Below are 25,732 nucleotides of genomic sequence, written 5' to 3'. Positions count from 1 at the left end.
ATCTAAGAGTCATTTTACTTTAAAGTCACTAAAATATTGTCTTATGTATATTTAGAGGAGTGTTATAGTTTTTTCTTTCTTGATTTAAGTCATGATTCATCTCTAATTGTTGTATATAATGTGTGATACAAGATGCAGGATTTTTTTCCAATGTGTCTATCAACTTGTTCTGGCGGTATTTGTTGAAAAAACTATCGTTTTCCACTTTAACAGCCTTAGTTTTCATTAAGGTAGTTTGAATCCTCTAATTTTCTTCAAGTTTGTTTTAGTTTGTCCTACTGCTTTATTTTTCATATAAATTTTAAAGTCAGTTTGTCACCTTATATGAAAAAACTTTGAGGAATTTTTATTGGAATTTGGTTGAATCTGTAGGTAAATTTGGGAACAATCACATTGTAACAATATTGAGTCTTCTGATTCAGGAACATGGTATATTCCTCCATTTATTTAGGTCTTTAAGTTACAAATGTTGTTTTGTTTTTAGTGTAGATGTGTTGAATACTTTTTTCAGTTAAATTTATTCCCAAGTATTTTATTATCTGATGCTATTATAAATATATATTTGAATATTATTTTTTAATTGTTTGTTGCTAGTATAAAGAAATATGATTGATTTTGGTATTTTTTATTGTTCATTGCAATACTGTTAATTCACTTATTAGTTCTAGTATTTTGTAAATCCCTTAGGATTTTTTATGTAAACAATTATATATGAACAGATGACATTATTTATTCCTTTATAATTTGTATGCTTTTTATTTTTTATTTTATTTTATTTTATTTATTTTATTTTATTTTTTTGAGATGGAGTCTTGCTCTATTGCCCAGGCTGGAGTGCAGTGGCATGATCTCAGCTCACTGCAGCCTCTGCCTCCCGGGTTCAAGACATTCTCCTGCCTCAGCCTCCTGAGTAGCTGGGATTACAGGCACACGCCACCATGCCTGGCTAATTTTTGTATTTTTAGTAGAGCAGGGTTTCACCATATTGGTCAGGCTGGTCTTGAACTCCTGACCTCGTGATCCGCCCACCTCAGCCTCCCGAAATATAAAGTGTGAGCTTTTTAGTTTTTTAATTGTTGATTAACAATGGTGAGAGTGGACATCTTCGCCTTGTTCTTCATTTTTAGAGAAAGCATTCGGTAGTTCACTATTAAGTATGATGTTACCTGTAGGTTTTTCTTAAATGCCCTTTATCAGACTGGGAAAGTTTCCTTTTAATACTAATTTCCTGAGCATTTCTAACATGATTGAGTATTGAATGTTGTTAAAACCATTTTCTGAATCTATTGTGATTATCATGTGTTTTCATTCCCTTTGTTCTGTTAATGTAATGAGCTACATTGTCTGATTTTCAAATGTTAAACCAATTTTACATTCCTGAGATAAGTTCTACTTGGTCATGATGTATTATCTATTTTTTACATTTGGCTGGATTCAATTTGTTAACATTTTATTTTAAAATTTTGCACTTACACTCAAACCTCTGTCAAGGTATGCTGCCTCATAAACTTAATTAAGAAGTGTTCCTTCTTCCTCTACTTTCATACCTTTACGCAATATTATTCTTATTTTCCTTAAATGTTTGAAAGAATTTACCAGTGAAACCATTCGGGGCTTCAATTTTCTTTGTGGATAAGTTCTTCGTTATAAATTCAATTGATTTATTAGCTATCAGTGTATTCAGATTTTTTATTTATTCTTGAGTGAATTTTGGTAGTTTGTGTCTTTCAACAAATATGTTCATTTTATCTAAGTTGTCAAATTTATTGAAATTAAGTTATTTATAATATTCCCTTTTTATCTTTGTAATATGGGTAGTATCTACAGTGAAATCTCCTCTTTCAGTCCAAATACTGGCATTTTTGTCTTCTCTCTTTGTCTGTTGACCCATCTTACTTAGGATTTATTAATTTTATTGTACTTTTCAAATTTCTAACCTTGGCTTTGTAAGTTGTCTTTATTATATCTGTTTTCTGTTTCATTGATTCTTACTCTTCATCCATTCAGAGAAATCACTAACTTTTAATTAGATAATTTGATTTATTTCTGTTTAATATAATTATTAAATCTGTTGGGCTTAGGTCTTACACTTCAGTATTTTTTTCACTACTTGTATTTGTTCCCTCAGTTTTTTGTCTTCTATTTCTCCTCTCTGCTTTCCTTTGTGTTAATTGAATCCCTTTTTAAGTCTTTTGTTTGAAGTACTCTGGTAGATTTTTAGCTATACTTCTTTGTATTTTTTACTTTTGTTTGTTTGTTTTTTGTTTTGAGTCAAGGTCTTGTTCCATCACCCAGGCTGGAGTGCAGTGGCCCATCCTCAACCTCCTGGGCTCAAGCAATCCTCCCACCTCAGCCTCCTGAGTAGCTGGAACTACAGGTGCATGCCGCCACACCTAGCTAATTTTTTAACCTTTTGTAGAGACAGAGTCTCAGTATGTTGCCCAGGCTGGTCTTGAACTCCTGACCTCAAGAGATCCTCCCACCTCTGCCTCCCAAAGTGCTGAAATTGCAGGCATAAGCTACCTTGCCTGGCCTCTTTGTATTTTTTTAAATTGGTTTTTCTAAGGATTCACTATGAAACCTTAATTGAGTATCCTTACAGTTAAAATTTTACCACTTCACGTAAAATATTACGACCTTTAACAATCTAATTCTATTTATACCCTCATCTTTTGTGGTAATATGCTATTGTTGTTCCATATTTCACCTTTTTATATGTTATAAGTCCCACAATACGATGTTATATTTTGTATTAAATAGTTCCTTGTCTTTTAAAAACATTAGACAATTAGCTGTTTATTAGTGAAATCCAGAGAAGAAAAAATGGTCACAAATCATTTTTGATATTCTTCCTTTCTTTCTGTATATCTGGTTTTTATTGAGTGTTATTTCTTTTCCTCTTGAATAATTTCCTTGAATATCTCTTTTGGTGTTTGTCTGCTGGTAACTCATGCTTTTAGCTTTTAATCATTTGAGAGTATATTTCATATTCATTTTTGAAGCATATGTTCACTGGATAAAACTCTGAATTTATTTCCTTTTATAGCATTATAAAGATGTTGCATAGTCTACTAGTCTTCATTGTTTCTAGTGAATAATCAGCCCTTATTTGTAATTTTGTTTCCCCGTAAGTAATATGTCCCTTTTCTCTGGAATTTTCTCTTTGTCTTTGGTTTTCAGAAGTTTAACTAGTTTCTAGGTGTGGTTTTGTTGTATTTATTTGGCCTGCATTTCCCTGAATGTCTCAAACCTCTTAGTTGATGTTTCTCACCAAATTCAGGTAATTTTCAGCCAGTGTTTTTCTTCCTTTATTTTTATTTTTTGATCTCTGAGTCACATTTTCCTGGTTGTTTGTACAACTCATACTTTTTAATTATATATTGTATGTTGTGGATTATCCATTGTAGATACTCTGTATTCTATTATCTTCCTCTGAAAATTTTTAACTTTGGGGGCAGGAAGCAGTTAAATTACCTGCTGCACACGTTGAACTTGTGGAAACTTAGTTTTTGCACTGTTAGGGAGAGTCTTTTTTAATTTTGTTTTTAGTCTTAGGGCAAATCCTTAGTCCTGGCATATTGAATTTATTCCTAAGGAGTTGCTCCTCTGGAGTTTCAGTGGAAAGCCCAAGGTGTTTATGAATTCTTTCTAACTTGATAGGATTCCAATTCAAATTCTGTTTCTCTTGCAAAGGGCATCAGCTGAAATCTCTTTTCAGATTTTCCAGATACACAGCTCTGTTTTTCATGGGTTCATTTGAGTCTTCCAAATACATGGCAAGTTCAGGGGTCAGCAGCCACCTGTAAGTTCAAACTCTGTCTTCTGACACATTAAGCCAATTAAACTGACTTTCTATTTGCATTCTAGCCACTCCATGCTATGAAGACCAGAAAGCGTCTTCATGGGAAAAACTATGAAAACAGAATTTCATTTAGTAAAATGCCTTTCATTCTAGGATGGAATCCACTCCAGTTTCTGTTTAATTTTGGTAGCTCTCAGGAATCTTCAACATCTATGGGTTTTTTTCATATTTTGTTCAGAGTTTATATTTATTATCTATTGGAGGACAGGGCTGATATGAGCTATTCTGCCATTACCAGAATTTGATTTTATAATAGAACCTTTTGCGCCAATATTTTGCATGTATCACATTAATTCTATCTGACAAAATGTAAGTTTTAATGGGCCCTTGAAGAGGTAGTCACTTTATTTTTCCTCTATTCTATTCTTTATTATCAATTCACTGGTAATCATTGAGACTATTCAGTGGTAATTTCTCATTTAGTTTTCCATTTTGATCTCTTCTAGAACATATTTTTTCATGTTACTCTTCTGGTTAAAAACCTCAAAAGACTTCTTAGCTTGGCATTCAAGGTGCTTAGCAAATTTGGTCCCTATTTACTTTTCTAATTTCATCTCTTATACTCCCCTTTTTTTTTTTTTTTACATAAACCCAAGCCATCGCCAGCTTCTTTTTATTCCCTAAAATGTCCTTTGCTTTTTTTTTTTATAACCCTGTGCCTTTCCTCACACTGATTTCCAAGCCCAAAATAGTTTCACATTCATACCTGCTGGTAAATTATTACTTCTCCTTTAAGATGCTGCTCAAGCACCGCTTCAACTCTGAAGCCTCCCTAATATTCATCTCTGTCCACTCCAATTGTGTTAGTAGCTTATTTTCCCTGCTCTAATAGTATTTTTAAATTACCGCTGTTAGCATCGTTTGTAATTTTTAATTTATGTGTCTTCTCCCATTGGACCAAATTCCTTAAAAACAAAGTGCACATGTTATTTATCTTTGTATACCCCATCACAATGCTGGGTACATATGAAATGTGTCAGAAGTGTTTATTGAATTAATACATAAATAAATTATTACTAGGCACATTATAGAATTAACTAGAATTCCCCTGAGGAATAACTTTATATGTGCACCAGGCACTCACTCATTCACTCTGATATCCCTTGGAATTTAACCACGAAGGGGCCTCTCCAGGATTAGTTCAGGACCATTGCCAGAGGCTATGATGGTGAAACTGGCCTTCTTTCCAACCCACCTGGAAAAACTCAATTTCGTCTTCTCTTTAAATCATTCAAATCACAGATTTCTAAGGAGATATTTGCCTTGGCAATTTCTATTTTCTCTCTGCAGATTAACTATCTTTAATCTAACCGAAAGTTTGCCTTTACACAAACTGAGATGAAGGATGAATTAACCAATTTGAGCCTTCTAGGGGAAGTTGTACAGAGCAGCCTCTCCTGGCATACGGGACCTTGCTTTCCCTTGAAGCCTACTGTGGTGCTGTTGATCTCTTGGCCTTTCAGCAACTGTCATTTGGGACTGCTGTTGCTGGTAATTAAAGACTCTTAGGTCAGCTGGAAAGCCGTCTCCAGGTACATAACTGTGGGTCTAGGCTTCTAACTGCTTTCCATGAAAAATCATACGCTGAACTCACAAATGACCCCTCTGCTGTTAAAAGGAGAAGAAGCTGCCTCATAGAATTATGAGCCATTCCAAGTTCTGGATTCTGATGCAGACTACTGGCTATTTAAGAATGAAATACTTGGTTTTTTGCACTTAATGATGAATGGAGCAGAATGAAATCATACAATATGCTGATTTTTAAAATTAATTATAACAAAGTGAATTTTAGACTTCAGATACACAGATTAATAGTATACCTTTTGAAAACAATTTATAGTATGCTGTAAAATTTTTCTTATCTATTTATAAGGGTTTTCCAGATATATAATTTCCATTTTTAAATTTCTGAATTTATACACACACACATAATCATATGTATTTCTACTGCGGCAACAATTCTTTAACCATTTTGTTTCAGAAGCAAAGTTTAGGGACACTTTCTAAATGTTCTTTTGACTTTGTGGCCTCTAATACTTTCTTAAAATTCTGAATCTAAGTTTAATTCAAACTTAGATTGTAAATTCAGGTAATAGATAAGTTGTCAGCTTTAAATGAAAAAAAAAGTAATATTGGGAGATGTTTTCTATCAGAATATTGAAGAAATATTTGTTGAAAACATCTATCTTTCTGCATAGTACTCATATGGATGCTTCAGTGAGTTCCATATAAGCCTTATATGGCATAGTCACTTCGAAAAGACAGAAAAGCAGAAACCTTCAATATGTATTTGTGGGGCATTTGTGGTTTATATTACTGTATTTTCTGTACATTACCCAGGTGTTAATTCAGATATTATAAATCTAGGGAAGGATAGACTCCCTTTCTAGGATGTTAGTGGTGGTGGTGAAAGCAAAGGTGAGACCATTTTTATATGCAAATTTGGTTTGTTGTTGTTGTTTTCATTGACTTTCTAATTAAGGAGAGTGACCTCCTGGGCATAATTTGCATAGTCATAAGATAGTGTTAGAGTACTACATATTTGGGAGATAGGACAGGAAGGGGGCAAAAATAGGAAGAGTGGTAGAAGGAAAAACAGGAAAACATTTTCCAAGTTTTGATTTTGCAAAGGGATCTGGGCATTGCAATCTGTGTGGTGTTAAACGTCGCTGTTGTAGTTGATCAGGTATCAGATTCAATTTAAAAGTAGTTTCAAATGTTGGCCTCCCTGGGTAAATCTCTTCTTCCCAAATCTTGGTTCATCTGATACAACATTTCTAGTTTAGCTTAGGATGTCCCCATTCATTTCTAGTTCACTCCTTCTGGAAGACAGAAGAGGTGACCAGAAAAAAGCAATGTGCACATGATCTAAAGCATTTTCTATTCTTCTCCTTCTTAATTCATGTTTTTGTTCTGTGCACTGTGCTCGAATTTTGCAACTTCTGGAAGCATTACATGTGAGTCCCAGAGAATTGCTGTGAAATCAATTCCTTGTCCTTCAGCTCCTGAAGATAATATGTGATGTAGGAGGAAAGGAAAAGGTCAGTGCAGGGTAGAGGTCAGACTTGAGCTCTGTTCCTCAGAAAAAGGTAGAAACTGGTAAAGTAGAAGAGAGTAGGAAGGATATGTGAAGACTGTGGTACAGCATGTGTGGGAGAGAGATTGGGCATATGTATGGCATATCTGGGAGACTCTATTGGTATGGAGTAGAGAATCTAGAATGTTTATACCAAAGCCAGCATCTAAAAATCCACTATGATCTCTGTCAGTCTTTGAGACAGTAAAACTTCCCATTTACGATGAAATACATATTTTAAATGAAGAAATAAATGGAAGCTGACTATTTGGTTTTGCTAGAGGTGGAGAGAAAGCTACAACAGTAAAAGCAGGCTCAAATGTTAATCACCTGTGGCATAGCAGTTAACTTAGAATAATATTGAAATGTTTTTGCATCTGACATTCTCCACAAACCTGTCTCCTTTTATGTGAATGCATGTCAGTATATAAATTGCTGAATCCATGTCAGTTGTAAAGTAATGGCACTGAGGGCATCATAAATTACCATGGTGATCCTCAGGAGAAGACACTGTCGTATCTGAATGAGTGTTTCACTTCCAGAGTAATGTATGCCTTCATCTGGCCCAGCAGTCAGCATATTGCCCTGTGTTGATGGATATTGTCAGCTGGAAGCTACACTACATTTCACTGCGCAATAAACATGGCTGTCAAACCCATATAAAGTGAAATCAATTTATCCTGTATGGTCAGTGCATTTTAAATGAAATTAATGTACTGTGGGTATCGTGGCAAAAAGGTATCATATTAGTTATGCATCTTGGGATCTAAGACTTTTCATGTAAAGGATCATTCTGTCTAGTAGGCCTAAAAGAAGGGCTGTTTATAAAATATGTTATTTTTGTATAATCTTCAGAAAGTAGCCTTTCTGCCCTCCTTCCTGTTTAGAAAAAAATTCATGTTAGCCAATCCCACCCTTTTATACTGTCTTTTGTTTGCAGTAAATGATAACCATATTTGCTAAATAATAGTGCACTATAATGTTGTAATTTATTACTGGCTTTGACACAAACAAATGTCTACTTAACCAAGGTATCTAAAAATAGAGAGGAAGGGCCAGAGATTGATTGAATCATGTTGGTCCTGTATAATAACTTCACTGAGCAGAAAGGATTTACTTTTTCCAGAAAATAGAAATGTTGGTTTTAATGTATATTTTGCTTCTAAACTTCTGGGCGTAGACTTTCCTGTTATGCGGTAGAAGCCTTGTCTGAGGCTATCAGTCTGACCACTTTACCTTTAATTATAGAAGTTCTCAGTCTGTAGGAGATATTCAGGAGTTGCCACATCACAAAGTATACATCAGTATATCGCCCTGGTATAGGGTGCATGAAAACAAGTAAGAACTATGTTCATTCATTCATTTATTTATTCATTCATGCATTAATATAACATATTTTACTAATTGAAATCCTATGTGCCAAGTACTTTATTGAATCCTAGGAATACAGCAGTGAATAAGACCCATCCCTTGCCCTATCTTCAGGGAGCTTTCAATCTAGTATGTTACTAGAGTCAGCTCTTTGGAAATTATATAGCATCAGGAATTTAGGCATAGTTTCATAGATGTTAAAGAACTACCCTTAAACAACAGAAAAATAGAACAGGACGCTTGAAATAAATGCCTCTTAGTCTATGACTTTTGCATATGAGTTGAAAACCAAATAATCTTTGCTTAATGAATATTTTATTATCTATTATGTGAAAAATCCTGAGGATACAAGAATAAGTACAGCATAATCATTAACTTTAGGTATCTCGTATTCCTGAGAGGAGTGGAAAGGAGGGAGATAGTCACATAAACAATAATTACTATGGGGCATGTCTCCTGAAAGCAAGAGGACTGAGTGCAGCCTGGGGAGCATCACTGCAAGTGCTGTTCCTTTACCCTGAATTACCCTTCCCATCAGACTTTACTCCCTCTCCCACTCACTTGTTGATTCCTATTCATCCTTGAAGACTCGGTTTAGACATCACATCTCCTAGGAAGCACTAGCTGACCATTCTATCTGGTGCTTTTTTGGTGCCCTGTTAATGTCAGTATTGTAGCACCTCTCACCCACTTTGTTATAATTGTCTGTCCTTACTCTGAACTGTGAGCTCCTTAAAAGCAGGAGCTGTTTTATTTACCATGGTCTCCTTAGCACCTGGCATAAAACCTAGGTTATAGTAATTGCTCAATAAATATTTTTCATTGAATTAATTCATTCAATCATGAAACATGATTGAAGGTTGAATGGGATTTAGCATGAAAGAGTAGGAGAAGTGTCTTCTAGGCAGTGAGAAGAGCACAGGTCAAGACAATATTGTGAAAAACAATTCTATTTTTGGGAAACATATAGAGTGGTTGTGATCTGGGGCAAATGAGTCTAAAATGACCAGTAAGAGCATGTTTTTGAAGAAAGGAATTACAGCAGGAAAGTTTACCATAAGGTAATGTCATTCATTGCTCTGTGATCACCTACCATTTATTGTAGTAAATGTGGTAGGGTGTATAAAACACACACAAAATTAATTCTTAGTGTGTCTTTGAGGGCTACATCAGAAGAGCCTGTAGAACTGTCATTTGAACCTGCCTTCTACTTCCAAGAAGTCACTTAGAAAAGAAGAGGAGGACCTGGGGAAAACAGCTGACCCAGGCGGCAAGCTGTGTGACATTATCCACAAAATAACGCTTTCCACTCATCTTGTTCTTCCTGCCCTGACATTACAGGAAGTAAAGCAATGAATGGCTCTGCAGCTAAACTACAGCAGTATTATTGTTGGCCAACAGGAGGTGCCACTGTGGCTGAAGCACGAGTCTACAGGGACGCCCGCGGCCGTGCCAGCAGCGAGCCACACATTAAGCGACCAATGAATGCATTCATGGTTTGGGCAAAGGATGAGAGGAGAAAAATCCTTCAGGCCTTCCCCGACATGCATAACTCCAACATTAGCAAAATCTTAGGTGAGTGCAGCAGTGCAGCTAAAGCTGATCTTCTCCCCTGCAAATCCCATGAGTGCCACCAGGGTGGGAAGCAAGGGGATAACTAGGATCCTAAGGGAGATTGTGGCGGGCGCAAGTTAGACGAAGGTCAGCCAGCTGCCGCAGGAGCCTTCGTCATCACGTCTGCCTCCCCCACCCCATAATGTGGCATGTAGGTTTGGGAGTTATTATATCCACCAGGTGCCAGGGCAGGACTGTCTGAACACTTATTTCAGAGACAAAACTATTTATAGTATGTGTTAATACTGTGAATTTAGCAACTCTTGAGAGGTCACTGCTAAACAAGAATCGTGGAGACAAGCTTTATCTCCTTTTACTGTGCAGTTCTCTTAAATTCATATGTTGCTATGAAGTACTCATAGACCCTACAGTTTTCTGCTTTAGTGTTCTTGGGTTTATATGTCCCACTGAAAGAATTCATCAAGGACTAGAAACCCAAAATGGTATGAAATTCATGGAGTGCAAAACAGTGCCTCTGATGATCACTTTAAAACTTGTAAAATAAATCTACAATTATTTTAATAAGATATGACTAGTTCAAATTTCATAGCAGTGAGCTGAACACACGAGCTGCAGGGGAGAGGCCCAGTTTGTGGTAAATTGCCAGAGTGATTCTCTATTTCTCAGGATTAAACTCAAGCCTTGTTCTATTAGTGTAGAGCTTGCCTAGTGTGGATTGTACAGCTTGGAATTATTGTGCTCAACATGTTAAACATATTTTATTCAACATGCAGCATTACAGTCAACATGTTTCCTCTTTAAAAAGGAAAAACACAGAAGGCACTGCTCTACTTAAAGCTGTCACGATGTGACAAAATCTCAAAGGAAGCCATTTAAGAAGCTGAAAAACATTAGAGACTTAAACTGTGGTTTTAATTTTTTAAATGTTTTGTTCAAAAGTAATAAATATTTAACCTGAGTAAATATCAGTGATCTGGACATGCACAGATACACATGTTTTGTCACTGTATAAATAATTTAACTTGATTCTGAGGCATTTTGAGGCAGTGACCTCTAAGAAAAATTTAAAACATACATAAGATCAAATAGTGGTGAAATGTTAAATATGTTTTTCTTTTTTTTTTGATTTTCTAATTTCAAAATGGATACTAAATGTCATTACAATTAAGTGTGGTTTTTATTTTTAGAGCTTCAGAGTTATGCATAGGGATGTTATTTTGAATTTAAATATCTTTCAAACCAAAATGTTCCTAGTGGACATACATTTTTTTTTTTCTAGTTAAATGACATTCTAAAAAAAAAAAAAATCAGTGCTTCTCTGGCCTTACAGTTTTATATCTAACTTGAAGATTTTCATATTTTTCTGCCCTTTTAGTAGCAATATGAGTAAGCCTTCAGATGGGCACAGAGCCTCTCTGTTTCCATTTTGGCAGCTGTGGGGAATCTATATTATTTGTGTGCATTCTGTGAAAAAATTATTAGGAATATAGTAAGTATATTCATTAAAATGTAAAGTTTTAAGTGCAAGCGTTTCAAGAGCACCAAGAATTCTTCGTTAATTGGGGCTTTAAGCTGCTGGAAACCAGCAGAACACAGAGAAGCCTATCTGCTTAGGCCTTCTACACAACTTTTGAACAACAATCAGGAAAGAGCAGGGATGCATGTGCTATTAAAGCAGACTAGGATATTGCTGGCTGCAGAGAATATTTGTACAACTTTTCCATTTGTTTATGTATGAAAAATCTCCACTGAAGAATCGCTAACATCCAGTCTGCACAGCTGTTACCGCTTTATTCACCAGCGAGACACAAAAATGCAATTTGATACATGTAAAAAAACACATCCCCTCTTCATCAAGTGTTTAGATAATTCTTTATAAACAATATTAGAGAAGTGAATACTTATCCTTCTTCCTGTATAAACCGTATTAAAATTTTTGTACTTTTATTGGTACAGCTTTGAATGAGCGTTTATAGTACTTGAAAATGGTATATATAATTCCAATGGTATCTTCCGGTTCTAAAGCTATAACTTCTTAGGTAGAGCTTAGGTTTTTTAATTACCTAGGCCATGGCAGACTTGTGCACAGTAGTTTTTTATATATGGAATGATTTCAACATCTGCTGACATCTTGTCAAAGGATAGTTTCACTAAAGATACTTGGAGTTTGGGAGATGTTTGAATTTCTAGGACAAACAAAGCTTTTCCTGAGAATCCTGTCATGCTCAAAAGTATGCTTAGGAGGTTTAGCCTTTTATCCCTGTTGAGAGGGTAGGCAGGTGGATGGGGAAAGACCTTGGTGTAGGCAATGATCTTTAAGCAGCAAAGATATATTTTAAAATACTATAGTAGCATCAGTCTTAAACTATTGAGATAAATAACACAAGAAAGTATCATACGCAAAATTGTTCTTTGTGTTATAGACTAAAAGTATAGTTGGGACAGCCAGTGGTATGTGGGAATTGGAGCCACCCAGCGCACAGATGAGTGAAGTGATGGGAAGGTATATCTAGTTGTGTTTGCCTAGAATATGTTGCCTTGACCACTTGGGTACTTAAGGCTATTTTTATTTCTAGGATCTCGCTGGAAATCAATGTCCAACCAGGAGAAGCAACCTTATTATGAAGAGCAGGCCCGGCTAAGCAAGATCCACTTAGAGAAGTACCCAAACTATAAATACAAACCCCGACCGAAACGCACCTGCATTGTTGATGGCAAAAAGCTTCGGATTGGGGAGTATAAGCAACTGATGAGGTCTCGGAGACAGGAGATGAGGCAGTTCTTTACTGTGGGGTAAGTATTCCTGAATTTAGCCACCTGGGCTTTACTTTTGCGGTAAGTAACTATAGGATGGCTACTGGCAGTATGTTTGGGAAGGAGATTAGGGAAAGAGGAGGTTGTGGCATACTGAAGGGGCTTGGCCATGAGAATCTTTGCTGTGTCATAGGGGCACTGCCTTGCACCATGGCTTTTGCTCAAATCAAGCCAAACCTGGAACAGTTCACTCCCAGCTGATCACCCCTGTCATTGTCTCCCAAGCCAATTTAAGATGCTCAGTGGCCACACACAGAGTTTCTGGTAGTTTATTTAAGCAGATACACAGGGAGGAAAAATAAAAACTAACCTTAAGAAATCCCCATAAGCTTTCCAGCTTCTCTGGGTGGTGCTTCTGACTCTAATCACAATAGTCTGCTTTTGTTGTGGGATCTACCACAAGATAATTGGCCTCGACATTGGTTAGAGGACCTCATTTTTGGCATAAGATCCAGAACTCCTGTTGCAGTAAATTATTCTGTGGTGGGAGCAGTAACAATGTGTATTTTCTTGCTTAAATCAGAAACTAGACATGCTTTTGATATCTTCAAGTCTGATTTCATGTCATTTTGTTTAAAAATTAGGTAATAGATTTCTGGTATAAATTTCAACTTGGCTGACTGGCTGTCTGCATTCAAAAGAGGCCCCTCATAACCACAGTAGTCAGGATAAGTGGGGATGCAGATGACTGTAGATTCCAGCATACCCAGACCTAGAAGCACAGCAGGGTGGCAAATCCAGAGGGCCATTTGAGGCACAGACCTGAAGCAGCTGGACTCAGAGTAGGGAAACACTTGGGAAAGAGCTTGAGAGAGAGAAGCAGAGTAAGCAAGAGGGAAGTTGCATTTGCTGTGAAGTTGGAGGAGAATTGAGGAGCTGTGCTGTGCCAGGAAACTAAGAGAGCTTCACTTGAAGGTAGAAAAAGAGGTACCTTAAAGGAGAAGCCAAGAGCTATTCACTTTTAAGGGCACTCAAGAGGTAACCCTGTGGAACAAAAAGTTGTTTTCAGAGCATGTGTTTAAAAGGAATAGTAAATAGAGTAAGAAAACAAAGCCAATGAACGTAGTCTGGGTCATGAATCTGTGCAATACACTGCAGTGTTTTCGGGAGGAGCGTGGGCTTTGGAGTTTGACTTCTGGGGTTCACATACTGACTGTGCCACCTACCTGGGCAAGTTATTAAACTTCTCTAACTTTTGTTTTCTCATGTGTAAAATGAAATGAATAGTGGAAACTATCTTGTATGATTGTTGAGAAGATCCAATGAGGCAACGCTTTTAAAAGTACTTTATATAGTGCTTAATACGATATCAATAAAGGTGAACTCTAGCATTATCATTACTATTTAATATGTATTTCCTATCACAGAAAACCATATTTTATATCACACCAGATGATCAGTGAATTTCTTTATACCATGGCAGAACCTTTTAGAGGTAGAGAGAAGCTTAAGCCACTTTATTATAAAAGATCCCAGTATGTTAATAAATGAAGACATGACAAAATAGGATTATCAAATTCCTCTGTATTATAAATGTTTGCATTTTTAAAGGTAATGCGTTTAACGCTAAAAAGGGCAATGTGGTATAATTGGGCTATTCAGCTGATAATTAGAGGATTTATGAAAAATACTAATTCATAGTCCACTTTAAGATTATGTGATAAACATTCTCTTTTAATCCCGTTAGTACACCTCTAAGATTGTGTATAATCTCTTTTGAACAATCCAAAGTTTAAGTTTGGGACCTCTTGTGATTCCTGCCCTCCCTCAGTCATGTTCCCTGTGTATGTAGTGATACATAGTGGGGCTGTTCCGCCAGTCTGGAAGGCTACTAAAGGTGCTGTTTTAATACCTTGGTGTAATACTTATTTGAAAATATGAGTTGCAGTAATACTATTGAATTTAGTTCCCTTTACTAAAGGGTACATTAAAACAGCTCTAGATCAAAATACCACAACATGTACCAATGCATGTAAAAATAAAAAACTAAAACAATTTAATAACATCTATTATTTATTGACTATCTAGTGTATACTAGGATTTTAGATATATAAGTCACATAATTCTCTAAATAAGATAAAGAAGTTGAGTTTTAGAGAGTTTCTATGGCTACAGAAAGGTGATAAAGAGCAAAGGTTCAAATTCAGGTATTGGCCCCCATCATGCCAAATGACTGAGGAACTGTCTTTACTACTTTGTCTCAAAATATGCCTCATAGCCCTATGCTGGCAGTCATGAGTGTGGCTATGCCATCTGAGCAAGAGCTCTTAGCACTTGGAGAAAATGAAGTCTCTGCTTGTGGTATATGGTACATAAAAAGAACTTTGAAATTTAGAGACTAAGTATCCTGTTCTCAATAGTGTAGAACAGTCCTTTATGGAAGGATCATTTTAGACTGCAGAATAGGGCTACTGAAGTGCAGGCAATGATCAGAATGTCTTATTCTTTCATCTCAATGCTGAGCATTTTCCTCTGCCCAGCTTTGATAATACTTGCTATGTAGAGCCAGGTGTTATTTCTGCTTAAGGATTTGTATTCTCTTTTAAGTAGTTGTAGTTGATAGATTATTAATTTCCTGAAGTTTTTCTTTGGAAATTGATCTTTATTACATATGAGGTTATTACAAGAGTTGAGCAAAAAACAAACAAAAATTCAAATATTTCTATTGACGTTTTGATGGAATGGGTTCAGATCAATTTTTATAGCTGATTTTGAAAAGACATGCATAACTTTCAAGCCAATAAAAGTGCATATACTGCTCAACATTTTCATGCATTTTACTGACTACACAACTGTGGCTGATGAGTTAGTTTTTTTTATTACTTAGCTATTATGAAATGAATTTATCAATAATATGGAAGGGAGCAATGTTAGCCCTTGCCTTGGTTTTAACCTCTTCAGTTCGCAGAGTAAGTATCAGAATGTTGTAATAATCTGGATAAGATTATTATCTGGATTATTCAAGATAATAAATGTGTGTGTGTATGTGTGGGTATAACACACTATTATATGCTAATCTATTCATGTATGTATCTGGCTTTGTATATTTGTTTGTATGTATCTGGCTTCTCCAACTACAGAATTCTCTGAAACTCATGTGTACAGAAATAATGCCTCATTTACTATACTAATTTAATAAAGTGTTGGACACATAGCTGGTTTCAAATAGGCCCTTACCAATTCTGAGTGTGGTGTCCAGAATATTCCCTCTACTATTAATGTAGAGGGAATATTCATTAGGGTACATGTAGCTACAATGACGTCTTCCCAAAGAACTGTGACCGAATATACTTCCATTTATTTGAAACTTATTTGGTAATTTACCTATGAACTCATAGAGAATTATGCAGGTACATTCAGCCCTCTGTATCTGTGTGGATTCAACCAATTGTGGATCAAAAATATTTTTTAAAAAAATTCGAGAAAATGTTACATTATTGCTAAAGTACACTATGTAGTTAGGTCTACAGTGGTTGCATCTGTATGGAACATCTACAGACTTTTTTTTTCTTGCGTTTATTTCCTAAACAATTCAGCATAACAAGTGTTTACATAACATTTATATTGTATTAGCTATTATAAATAATGAGATTGTTTAAAGTATATAGGGGATGTGTGTAGGTTATATGCAAATACTATACCACTTTATAAAAGGGACTTGAGCATCCTCAGATTTTGTTATCTGTGGGGGTCCTGGAACCAATCCCCCATGATACAGATGTAAAACTACTATAAAATATTAAATTTGGGGCTACTTTTTTAGCAATGATAAAGATAGATTATTGAATACTTACTGTGTGCTGTGTACTCTGCTGAGTGGATTATACAGATTATTGCAAATACAACAAATTTACAAGATAGGGAATATCATTCTCACTATTAAATTGAAAAATGCAATATTCAGAGATGTTAAATAATTTGTGTAGGGCCACACAGCTAGTAAATGGCCGAGCTGAGATGTAAACCAGGCTTATGTGAATGTGAAACATATGTCCCTTTTACCAAAGGACATTGGTAAGGACACGACATTACACACACAGAGGCGGTATAGCATTGTGGTTAAGAGCATCAATTCTGGAGTCAGACTAGTCTGGCTCAAATACTAGATCTGCACCTTCTTGGCTGTAGGAACTAATACATGGCAATCTTTATTCCTCTGAACTCTCCCCTTGCCCTTGGGAAACATTTAATCTCTCTCTAACCAGTTTCTTCATATGTAGAATGAGAATGACAATACCAATGACATATGCAGGACTCTTCTTGAAGCCTGAGTAACTTACTGTTTGTAAAGTGCTTAGAACATTGCCTGGCATATGAAAAGCTTTAAATTCAAGTAAATATTATTATTCTAGAAAAATAATACTGTGTGCCAAGTATATATTCTATGTTATATTACAATAATTATTTTAGTGCCTTGTACTATAAGTGATTTGAACATTTGCATTTTAATCTTAATTTTAAAGAGGTCGAATCAATCCTATTTAAGACACCTATAAAATACAATTACATTAGCATAGATTAGCCATGCTTTTTTAAGTATTGTCCTCCTGTAAAGACCCTGGATTAGAACATTCAATAGGTAAAGTGAACAGATTATTATTATTTCTGTTCCTTCCTGCAGTATCAGCTACAGAGATATGTGACGTATAGGCTTATCTCCTAATGAAACAAACTTCCTTGTCTTTATTTATACACTTTGAAGGGTCTGAAGGGTCAGCAAACAATGGGGCTTTGCCAGCATAAATATGTAGTTACTTTGTAATTGGCAAAGCTAGATTACACTCCAGAAATATTCCTGTAATTTGGAAGTCATGTAGCAATGGTGGGCTCTATCAGGGCCAGCTTTTACTCTTTACTTAGACTGGGAGGAAGGGTTCTTAAATATCTCTGTTCATATCAACTCATGTATATACTTTTACAAACATCCACAAATGTTGTTTTGATGTGCACATTCATTATTTGTAAAGCCCAATACCTGCCAGCTATTCCTGTTTGTGAAATCTGCAGTGTTTGAATTTTGACTTTGAAATTGATCTATAAAGGAAGGAAAAAATGCTTTTTAGGAAAGCAATTTCTGATAGACAAAGCTTGAACCTGCTGGCTGGATTTCTTATTTTGTTCATTGATTTGTTAGTTAATTGGTAAGGGCCTATTTGAAACCAGCTATGTGTCCAACACTTTACTAAATTAATATGGTACATGAGGCATTATTTCTGTACACATGAGTTTCAGAGAATTCTATAGTTGGAGAAGCCAGATACATACATGAATAGATTAGCATATAATAGTGTCTTATACACACACATACACACACAAGACATGGCACAGCACTGCATATAACATTTAATGAACTACTAATCTTCATTTTGTAGACAAGAGCAAATAAAGCTCAGAGGAAGAGAGATTATTATGCATTATGGCCAAGCATGGGACATTCTTGAGGAAGGGACTTGAAGTTTGGGTAGGTCAGACTTATGGGAAGTAGATTCCTGCTTTAGCATAGAGGAGAGCATGAACACCTGGGGGAAAATGTGGATATATTCAATAGTAAAAAAAAGAAGCAGCCTAAGGCTTTTTCCTGGCAGTAAAGAAAACATAAGATGGGTAGGGTGGAGGAAGATTTTGGAAGCCATTGAAAGCCAGGTTTCTTCAACTGTAATTAGCTATGCACAGTTAGTGTGGTTTTTTTAGTCTCTTTTTATGCTGATAATGATAAAAGAGAGCAAGATCAGCGTGATGGTTAGCTTCTGATTTTGCATCCACAGAATTAGTTGCAACATAGAAGGGGCCTCAGATGTTATATACTTCAAGCCATTGGAGGAGTCTTCCCTAAGTTCTTGAACTCTTCCAAGGGTAGAGAGCTCACTGCTTCCCAAGGGAGCTAGTTCCTTTGTGGAACATTTCCTAATACTAGAAAGTTTTCTTTTCTGTTAACTAAGCCATAATCTTCCTTCCTCCTACTTTGCAGATTGGTTCTAATCTTCTTCTTTCGTGTCTCCTAGAACAAATCTCCCCTTTATTTATGAGAATAACCATTCAAGCGTCTAAAGATGGTTATTTTCATACAGCTAGTCTCATTACATCTTTTCTTCCCTGAAATAGATTACTTAGAATTTTCATTTGTTTTTTCTCATTCATTCATTCATCCTATGTATTTAACAGATATTTACTGAGTGCCTCCTATGTTACAAGCAGTCTGAGTTCTGGAACTATGTCAGTGAAAATTTTTGTCTCATGAAGCTTATATTCTAGTGATAGAATTCAAACAAATAACAAACAAACAAATAAATAATAGTGAGAGGTGCCTTAGAACAAAGTAAAGTAGGGAAAGGGATAGGAAGTTTCAGCTTATAGGGTGCAATTTTAAATAGGGCAGTCATGGAAAACCTCACTGAGAAAGCAACATTTGAGCAAAGGCCTCAGTAGGGAAGGGAGCAAGCTGTGCAGATATCTGGGAAATGTGGGCAGAGAGAACAGCAACTGTAAAGGTTTTGAGGCGAGATTGTGCCTAGCTTGTTCCAAGAAGAAATAAATAGGCCAGAATGACAGGAGCAAAGTGAGTAGGTAGGAAGAATAGTAGAAAAGACTTTTAAGCCATAGTCTTCATAATAAGGAACCAAGTTATGAAAAGACTTGTAAGACATTGTGAAGACTTTGTATTTGACCCTGAGTGAGATGGAAAGGCATTGATGAGTTTTAAGCAGAGGAATGCTTTCATATGACTTAGGTTTTGAAAGGATCACTCTATATGCTATGTTGAGAATTTTCTGAAGGGAGAATGGCCTGTAGCAAGGAAGCTAGCCTCTTACAATAAACCAGATTGGAGTTGATGGTGGTTTGTTCCAGGTTTGTAGGGGTGGAGGTGGTAAGAAGTAGATGGGTTCTAGATGTATTCCTGAAGAAGAACCAATAGGATTTGCTGATCAATTGGATACAGAGTTTGAAAGAAATACAGTTACCATAGATTGGCCTATTCAACTGGAAGGATGAAGTAATCATTAACCAAGAACAGGATGGCCATGAGAGGGGCAGGTATGTGGGAGAATGATCAGGACTTTAAGTTCTGCACCTATGAGGTTGAGACAGCATTTAGAAATCCAAATCAAATAAGCAGTTTTATATATATATATATATATATATGTAAAATATATATAAAATAAGCAGTTATATATATAAAATAAGCATGTATATATGCTTATATATATGCTCATATATATAAAATAAGCATTATATATGCTTATTTTATATATAATATATAATATATAATGCTTATATATATTATATATAATATATATTATATATAATGCTTATATGTTATATATAATATATATTATATATAATGCTGATATGTTATATATAATATCTATATTATATATAGATATATATTTATATCTCCAGTGAGCCCTTTGCTCCTAAATTCTAGACTCATATATATATATAATAAGCATTATAATGAGTCTAGAATTTAGGAGCGAAGGGCTTACTGGAGATATAAATTGGGACGTTGTCAGCATATAGATAATATTTAAAGCCATGGAATTAGATGAAATCACCAAGGGAATCAATTTAGATAGAGAAGAGAAGAAGCAAGGACTCAATCCATGGGGACTTCGGTGCTTAGATGGCAGGGAGATGGGAAGGAAGCAGCATGGGAACTTAGAAGGAGCAGCCAATTAGGAAGAAGACCAGGAGGGTGTGGCATCTGAGAAAACAAGTGAATAAAATGTTTCAGCAAGGAGAAAATGATCAGCTATATCAAATGCTGCCCGTGTTATAGATCTGGGTAACATGAGGACCAAGAACTGACTTTTGGATTTAACAATATGAAGATTATTGATGGTGTGACCTTCATAAGCTCTGTTTCAGTGGTGTATTGGGAGTGATTGAAGTGGGTTTAAGAAAGAATTGAGTAGAAGAAATGAAGAAAGACAACTTTTTAAAGAGTTTTGCTTTAAAGGATATCAAAGAAATGAAGCAAGAGCTGGAGGGGGAGATGTGCCGAGAGAGGTTTTTGGTTGTTTTTTATGGTATGAGTGATTATAGCATGTTTGGTGGGAATTCTATAAAAAATTAATGATTCAGATAGGAGAGACAATTGCTGGAGAGATATCTTTAGTAAACAAAAACAGATAGTTTCAGTGCACAAGCAGAGGGGTTAGCCTTATATTGGATTATGAACTGATTCAAAATATGGAAAGGCAGGCAGAGAATGGGGCACAGATACAGGGAGGCCAGTCAACGTGACAGTGGGAGTTTGTGAAAAGTTTCTTCTGATTGCTTCTAATTTCTCCATGAAATAGAAAGCCAGGCCATTAGCTTGGAGTGAGAAAGGGGGAGAAGTTGGATATTTGAGGAAAGTTAAGAAGGTAGGAAGTAATTGTCTAGGAGGCTAAGAGAAGGAGTAGGCTAGAACAATGTGCAATATGATGGCTGAACAGCACCAGAGGCCTATTTGAAGTACAGCATTGTAAATTTAGAGACTAGTAAGTATGGCAGTGTATTTTCTCCAGCCAAGTTCAGCTGTGTGGCTAAACAGAGTAGGCAGAGAGTTAAATTGAACTAAAGTTGAAGTTTTGCTATGTAAGAGAATGGAGAGTGTCTGCAAGGGAGTGAGTAACCATGGAATTGGAACTGGGTAAAGAGGTAAGTGGGGGCACAAGCAGGGAGAGGCTCAAGTAACTGAGGGCAGTGAAGGTGGGTTGAAGGATCAGGAAACCGTAGCTCCTCAGATGGGGTGGGGAGTGAAATCATAAACTGGGTACTAAAGGGAGAAAACTAGAACAATAAGATGTGGTGGTTAGAGAGTGGGATATTTAAAACTGAGATTAGGGAGGAGTGACAGATGAAAATGACAAGGTCCACTGTATGACAAGAGAGCGAGCAACTAAGATAGGGAGGGGCCCAGATTATCACAGTGGCGGGGAGGTCACACTGAGATAGTCGGGTGTTGGAATGAACATCTACAGAGATAGCAAAGACATCAAGGATCATGGCAGAGGTTATGTTGAAGAAACAGCAACAGTGAGCCAGGAGCTAACATCTTTAAGGAATGAGGGGGATTGATCAGGCAGGGGGTAGATAAAGGTATGAGTGGGTGACATAGTCTGGTGACATGAGATTCAAAGATGAGATTTTTAGGATGGAGGGATTAAAAAGTAGGTTGGACGAGGCAATGAGGAGCTAAGAAGGGAACTACCCCACCTCCAGGCCCATTCATGTGAGGGGGATGGAAAGCAAATAACCAACTCTTCCGAGGGCCTTAGGGAGACTCGTGGCCTAGAGAGAGAGCCAAGTTTCAGTTAGAGTAAGAAGGTGAGTCAGTAAGGACTGACAGTTGAGTTCCAGAGGGTATAATGGAAATATTTCAGGAATTAGAGAAAGGAGGGAGTTAGGGTTAGAAAAAGGGTTATACAGAACCAAATGTTATTCTTTGGGGACTTTTTTCTTTTTAAACATTTCTTAGAAGATGTCAACATTTTCCCTTCTCAGATGCCCTTCTCTACAGTTCTGCGGTAAAGAGGAAGTCCTCTCCTGGCCAGGCTTGTGAACCAGAGTATTGTTTTACAATTAACCGCCAATTCCAAATGGCTTCTGTGGGCTGGCACTCACGGAGAGTCCAAAGCATTACCTTGTCATTTCCTTGGTGCTCCCCCAGACTTAGAACATGCTTGCTCTCTGTGAGGTTTACACCAGCTTCCCAAAGGAGGAAAGGAAAGGGAATTAACATTTTCGTCTACTCTATAATGTAATGCTTTGCATATATGTTCTTACTTAATCTTCACAGTCCTGTCAAATGTGAATGTTCTAATTTATAGACGAGGAGAGGCAATGTCAGTGATAATAATTAGCCTGCCCAGGATCACACAGCCAGTAACTGGTGCAGCTGGGATTTAAACCCAAGCCATTCTGACTCCAAAACCTGAGCTCACCATACCACATAACCTTCTTCCCAGAAGGCTTGGAGAGGCAAAAATCATCTCTCACAGGGATAAGTTCTCACTCTAGCATTTATGTACAACCTCGAACAGTTGTATGTGAATGTGAGAACCTTACCAGAGCTGGACTCCCTTCATTTCCTCAAGGTGGGGAGTAACCCCTGGGTTTTTACCCTCACTGGCTTTTAGCACTGTCTGGGGGCTTAAAACAGCCATATATATCTCTCCACTCCCAGGACTAGGCTTTTGAATATCATGCATCTCACTCTCACTCTAGAAAGTAAATTGTACAGATGTTTTATTTGCTTGTTTATTTATTTTTAGCATTCCATTACCAGCTTAAAGTCCAAATACTCTGAACTATGTGGAGCCCAGTGTAGAAGATTTTGATTCCGATTTAAATTGCTAAGTTTTTTCTGATAGTGTGAGCTTGCCTTTCTCACCCTGATCTTGATATGTGCTAGGGAATTTGTGACACGGGGAAGGTTCAACTCCTGATTATGGTACTTGCGTGGCCTTGAACAAACAGCTTGAATTTTCTGAAACTTAATTGGTCACTTCATGTGTAAAAGAGGGAAAATGATACCTACCTCTCAGGCTTATTATGAGGATTCAAGAAGATAATGTAAAAACACCTAAATATAGTTCCCAGCACATAATACGAGCTCAATTTAAATTTATTCAGTAGACCTATTGATATAGATATTCTGGTAAAAATACTGCAAAAAGTGACCATCTATTCTTTGTGAAAAGGAAACGTATCATTTGATAGTGTGTTTTTATGCAGAGTTTGTATTACAGATCAGCTTGCCAAATTGGGAAATCTGTAAAATGGGTTAACATTGCAGTAAAAGCTTTCCCTCTACACTCATAATGTGATTAAGGCAAAAACATTTTATTGCAGTTATCCAAATTCAGTAAAAAAACCAATGAGGCATTATAAGGTTAGCATAAAATTTAATTTGTGTTAATTTGCCCAAAACTTAGGAAGCCAGAAGTATACTGTTTTAAAATTTGATTCAATAAGAGGGAACTAATATTTTATATGATGTTTCTATACATAGATTTAGATTCCTCTATTATCTGCTTCCTTCAGGCAACCAAAAAACTCACCATGAGAATCATAAAAACTGGGTCAATGTCAAGTGCTTAGTGTCAACTAGGTGCTGACAGGTTCTATAGAAGTCAGGCATTTTTATGATATACAGTGAGCTTAGTGTATCTGTAGATTGAATATCTATAAAGGAAAGAGTGATGGGATTCAAGTCAGCCAATGGCTTAGATTCACATTCTGGCTCTGCTGGTTATTGAATGCAGGGCTTGAAGCAAGGTCTGATTTTCTTCATCTGGAAATGGAAAAAATAATAACTTATGGGGCCATGATGTTAATTGGGTGAGTTGGTATACCTGAAAATATTTTATATGTTATGTTAGGGATATGATGTGCCTTGTGGTGATTAAAAGAGATTGCTAAATTCAGCGTGAACCAATATCTCACAGAGTGTTTCTAAACCATCTGCATCCCTTCTCCCTCTGCCAGGCTGGAGGGCATGGAGGTCTTTGTGAGAAAATTATGTTCCTCTGGACATGTCAAAGAATAAACCAAACACCGCATATTCTCACTCATAGGTGGGAATTGAACAATGAGATCACATGGACACAGGAAGGGGAATATCACACTCTGGGGACTGTGGTCGGGTCGGGGGAGGGGGGAGGGATAGCATTGGGAGATATACCTAATGCTAGATGACACATTAGTGGGTGCAGCGCACCAGCATGGCACATGTATACATATGTAACTAACCTGCACAATGTGCACATGTACCCTAAAACTTAGAGTATAATAAAAAAAAAAAAAAAAAAAAAAAAGAGAGAGCTAACAGAAAAAAACAAAAAAAAGAATGGCAGGTAGCTAAGCTACTTCTTCATAGATTCAGAGTATTTTCCTGTTTGAGTGAGATGGATAGAAAGTTTCAGTGATAATGTGTAGGGTGAGTAAGAATTGTCCAAGTGATAATTGACCTGAAGTCATGAGTACAAAAAGTGGAAGGACCTTCCAGAACTTCCCTGACCCCGGCTTGTATAAATATGTAGAAACAAAGGCTCCAAAAGGATAGTTACAATGACAACTTGAAACAAATTCAACTATAATTTACTATCCATTAAAGATTGAGAAACTCTTGGTGAATATTGCATATATGAAAATAATATTTTCGCCATAGTCTCTGAGTTAGGTAGATGTTTCATTCCTGTGTACCAGTTATAATGCCTTAAGTGAAGTTAAGAGACAGTAATCATGTCTCCCTGCAGAGGAAGAGATTGACCTCCACAAAGGATCTGTTAAGTTTGTTTAAACTAGGGTAACATTATGGAGGAATGAACTGGTGTCCAGGCCTTGCCACCCTCTGGGATCTAGGGTGAGGCAGCGTATCTGGTGTCTACTCTGCAACTCTACTCTGTTGAGTTGCAGAGGTCTCACTGCTCTTTACTCCCAACTCTCTTAATCCCAACCCCAGTTCCAGCCCAGGGTCTCAGCAGTAATGACATCCAAGATGATCCTTCCACAGGGATTATTCCTAACAAGTTCAGCCATGGAAATATGTAGACATTTACATGAATAACAAATAAATGCTTTGCTGAATCTCACTCTTTGGGACATGCTAGGTCCCTTCTCATCTTGATTTATACATTTCTCAAACCAAGGTGAAGACACAAACCTGCTTAATAGTGTCATTATAATATGTTTCATGCCACTAGTCTAATTTTCAAAATGTGCTGGGAGATCTTCAAAAATTATTTCACATGTAACATTGTGGAATTCACTACATCATTTGTTCCTAATGCCAGGTGTTATCCAAACTTTGCCATATTTACCAAGTTAAAAGAACCCTGCCTTTATGTTGCAAAGTCATCAGTAAATTGCTCCATCATATTGTTTAACCCCTAACATAGCATCAAGGAGATTTGCAGTACTCCTCCAGGGAACACCTTTGTCACATTTTATTTGCTTAGAATGTTATTTAACATTTATTTAGGGCTCCCTTTTGAAAGTGTAGGGTGTGAATTCCAATGCTGTACATAGCACATATATAGATATTT

General features: G+C 36.5%; 1 protein-coding gene across 6 annotated transcripts in view, besides 1 other annotated feature; it reads left to right on the top strand.

Annotated features, from left to right (window-relative positions):
- SOX6 (SRY-box transcription factor 6) overlaps positions 1-25,732 on the top strand; it is a 772,029-nt gene that overhangs the window by 739,597 nt on the left and 6,700 nt on the right. For 5 of the 6 annotated variants that reach the window (NM_001367872.1, NM_001145811.2, NM_001145819.2 and 2 more), the window contains 2 exons: positions 9,651-9,884; positions 12,461-12,677. In NM_001367872.1, coding sequence (NP_001354801.1) covers positions 9,651-9,884; positions 12,461-12,677 — 451 coding nt within the window. The remainder of the gene's footprint in view (positions 1-9,650; positions 9,885-12,460; positions 12,678-25,732) is intronic. The other variant, NM_033326.3, reaches the window with a different exon arrangement.
- Positions 24,612-24,812: a silencer, noted in NCBI's record as "peak1212 fragment used in MPRA reporter construct". NCBI's record gives its function as "represses an SCP1 promoter by STARR-seq MPRAs in K562 erythroleukemia cells {active_cell/tissue: K562}" and the evidence as "EXISTENCE:reporter gene assay evidence [ECO:0000049][PMID:32103011]".

This window comes from Homo sapiens, chromosome 11 (genome assembly GCF_000001405.40).
Source record: "Homo sapiens chromosome 11, GRCh38.p14 Primary Assembly".
Classification (NCBI taxonomy): domain Eukaryota; kingdom Metazoa; phylum Chordata; class Mammalia; order Primates; family Hominidae; genus Homo; species Homo sapiens.
This window is presented reverse-complemented; position numbering and strand designations above follow the sequence as displayed.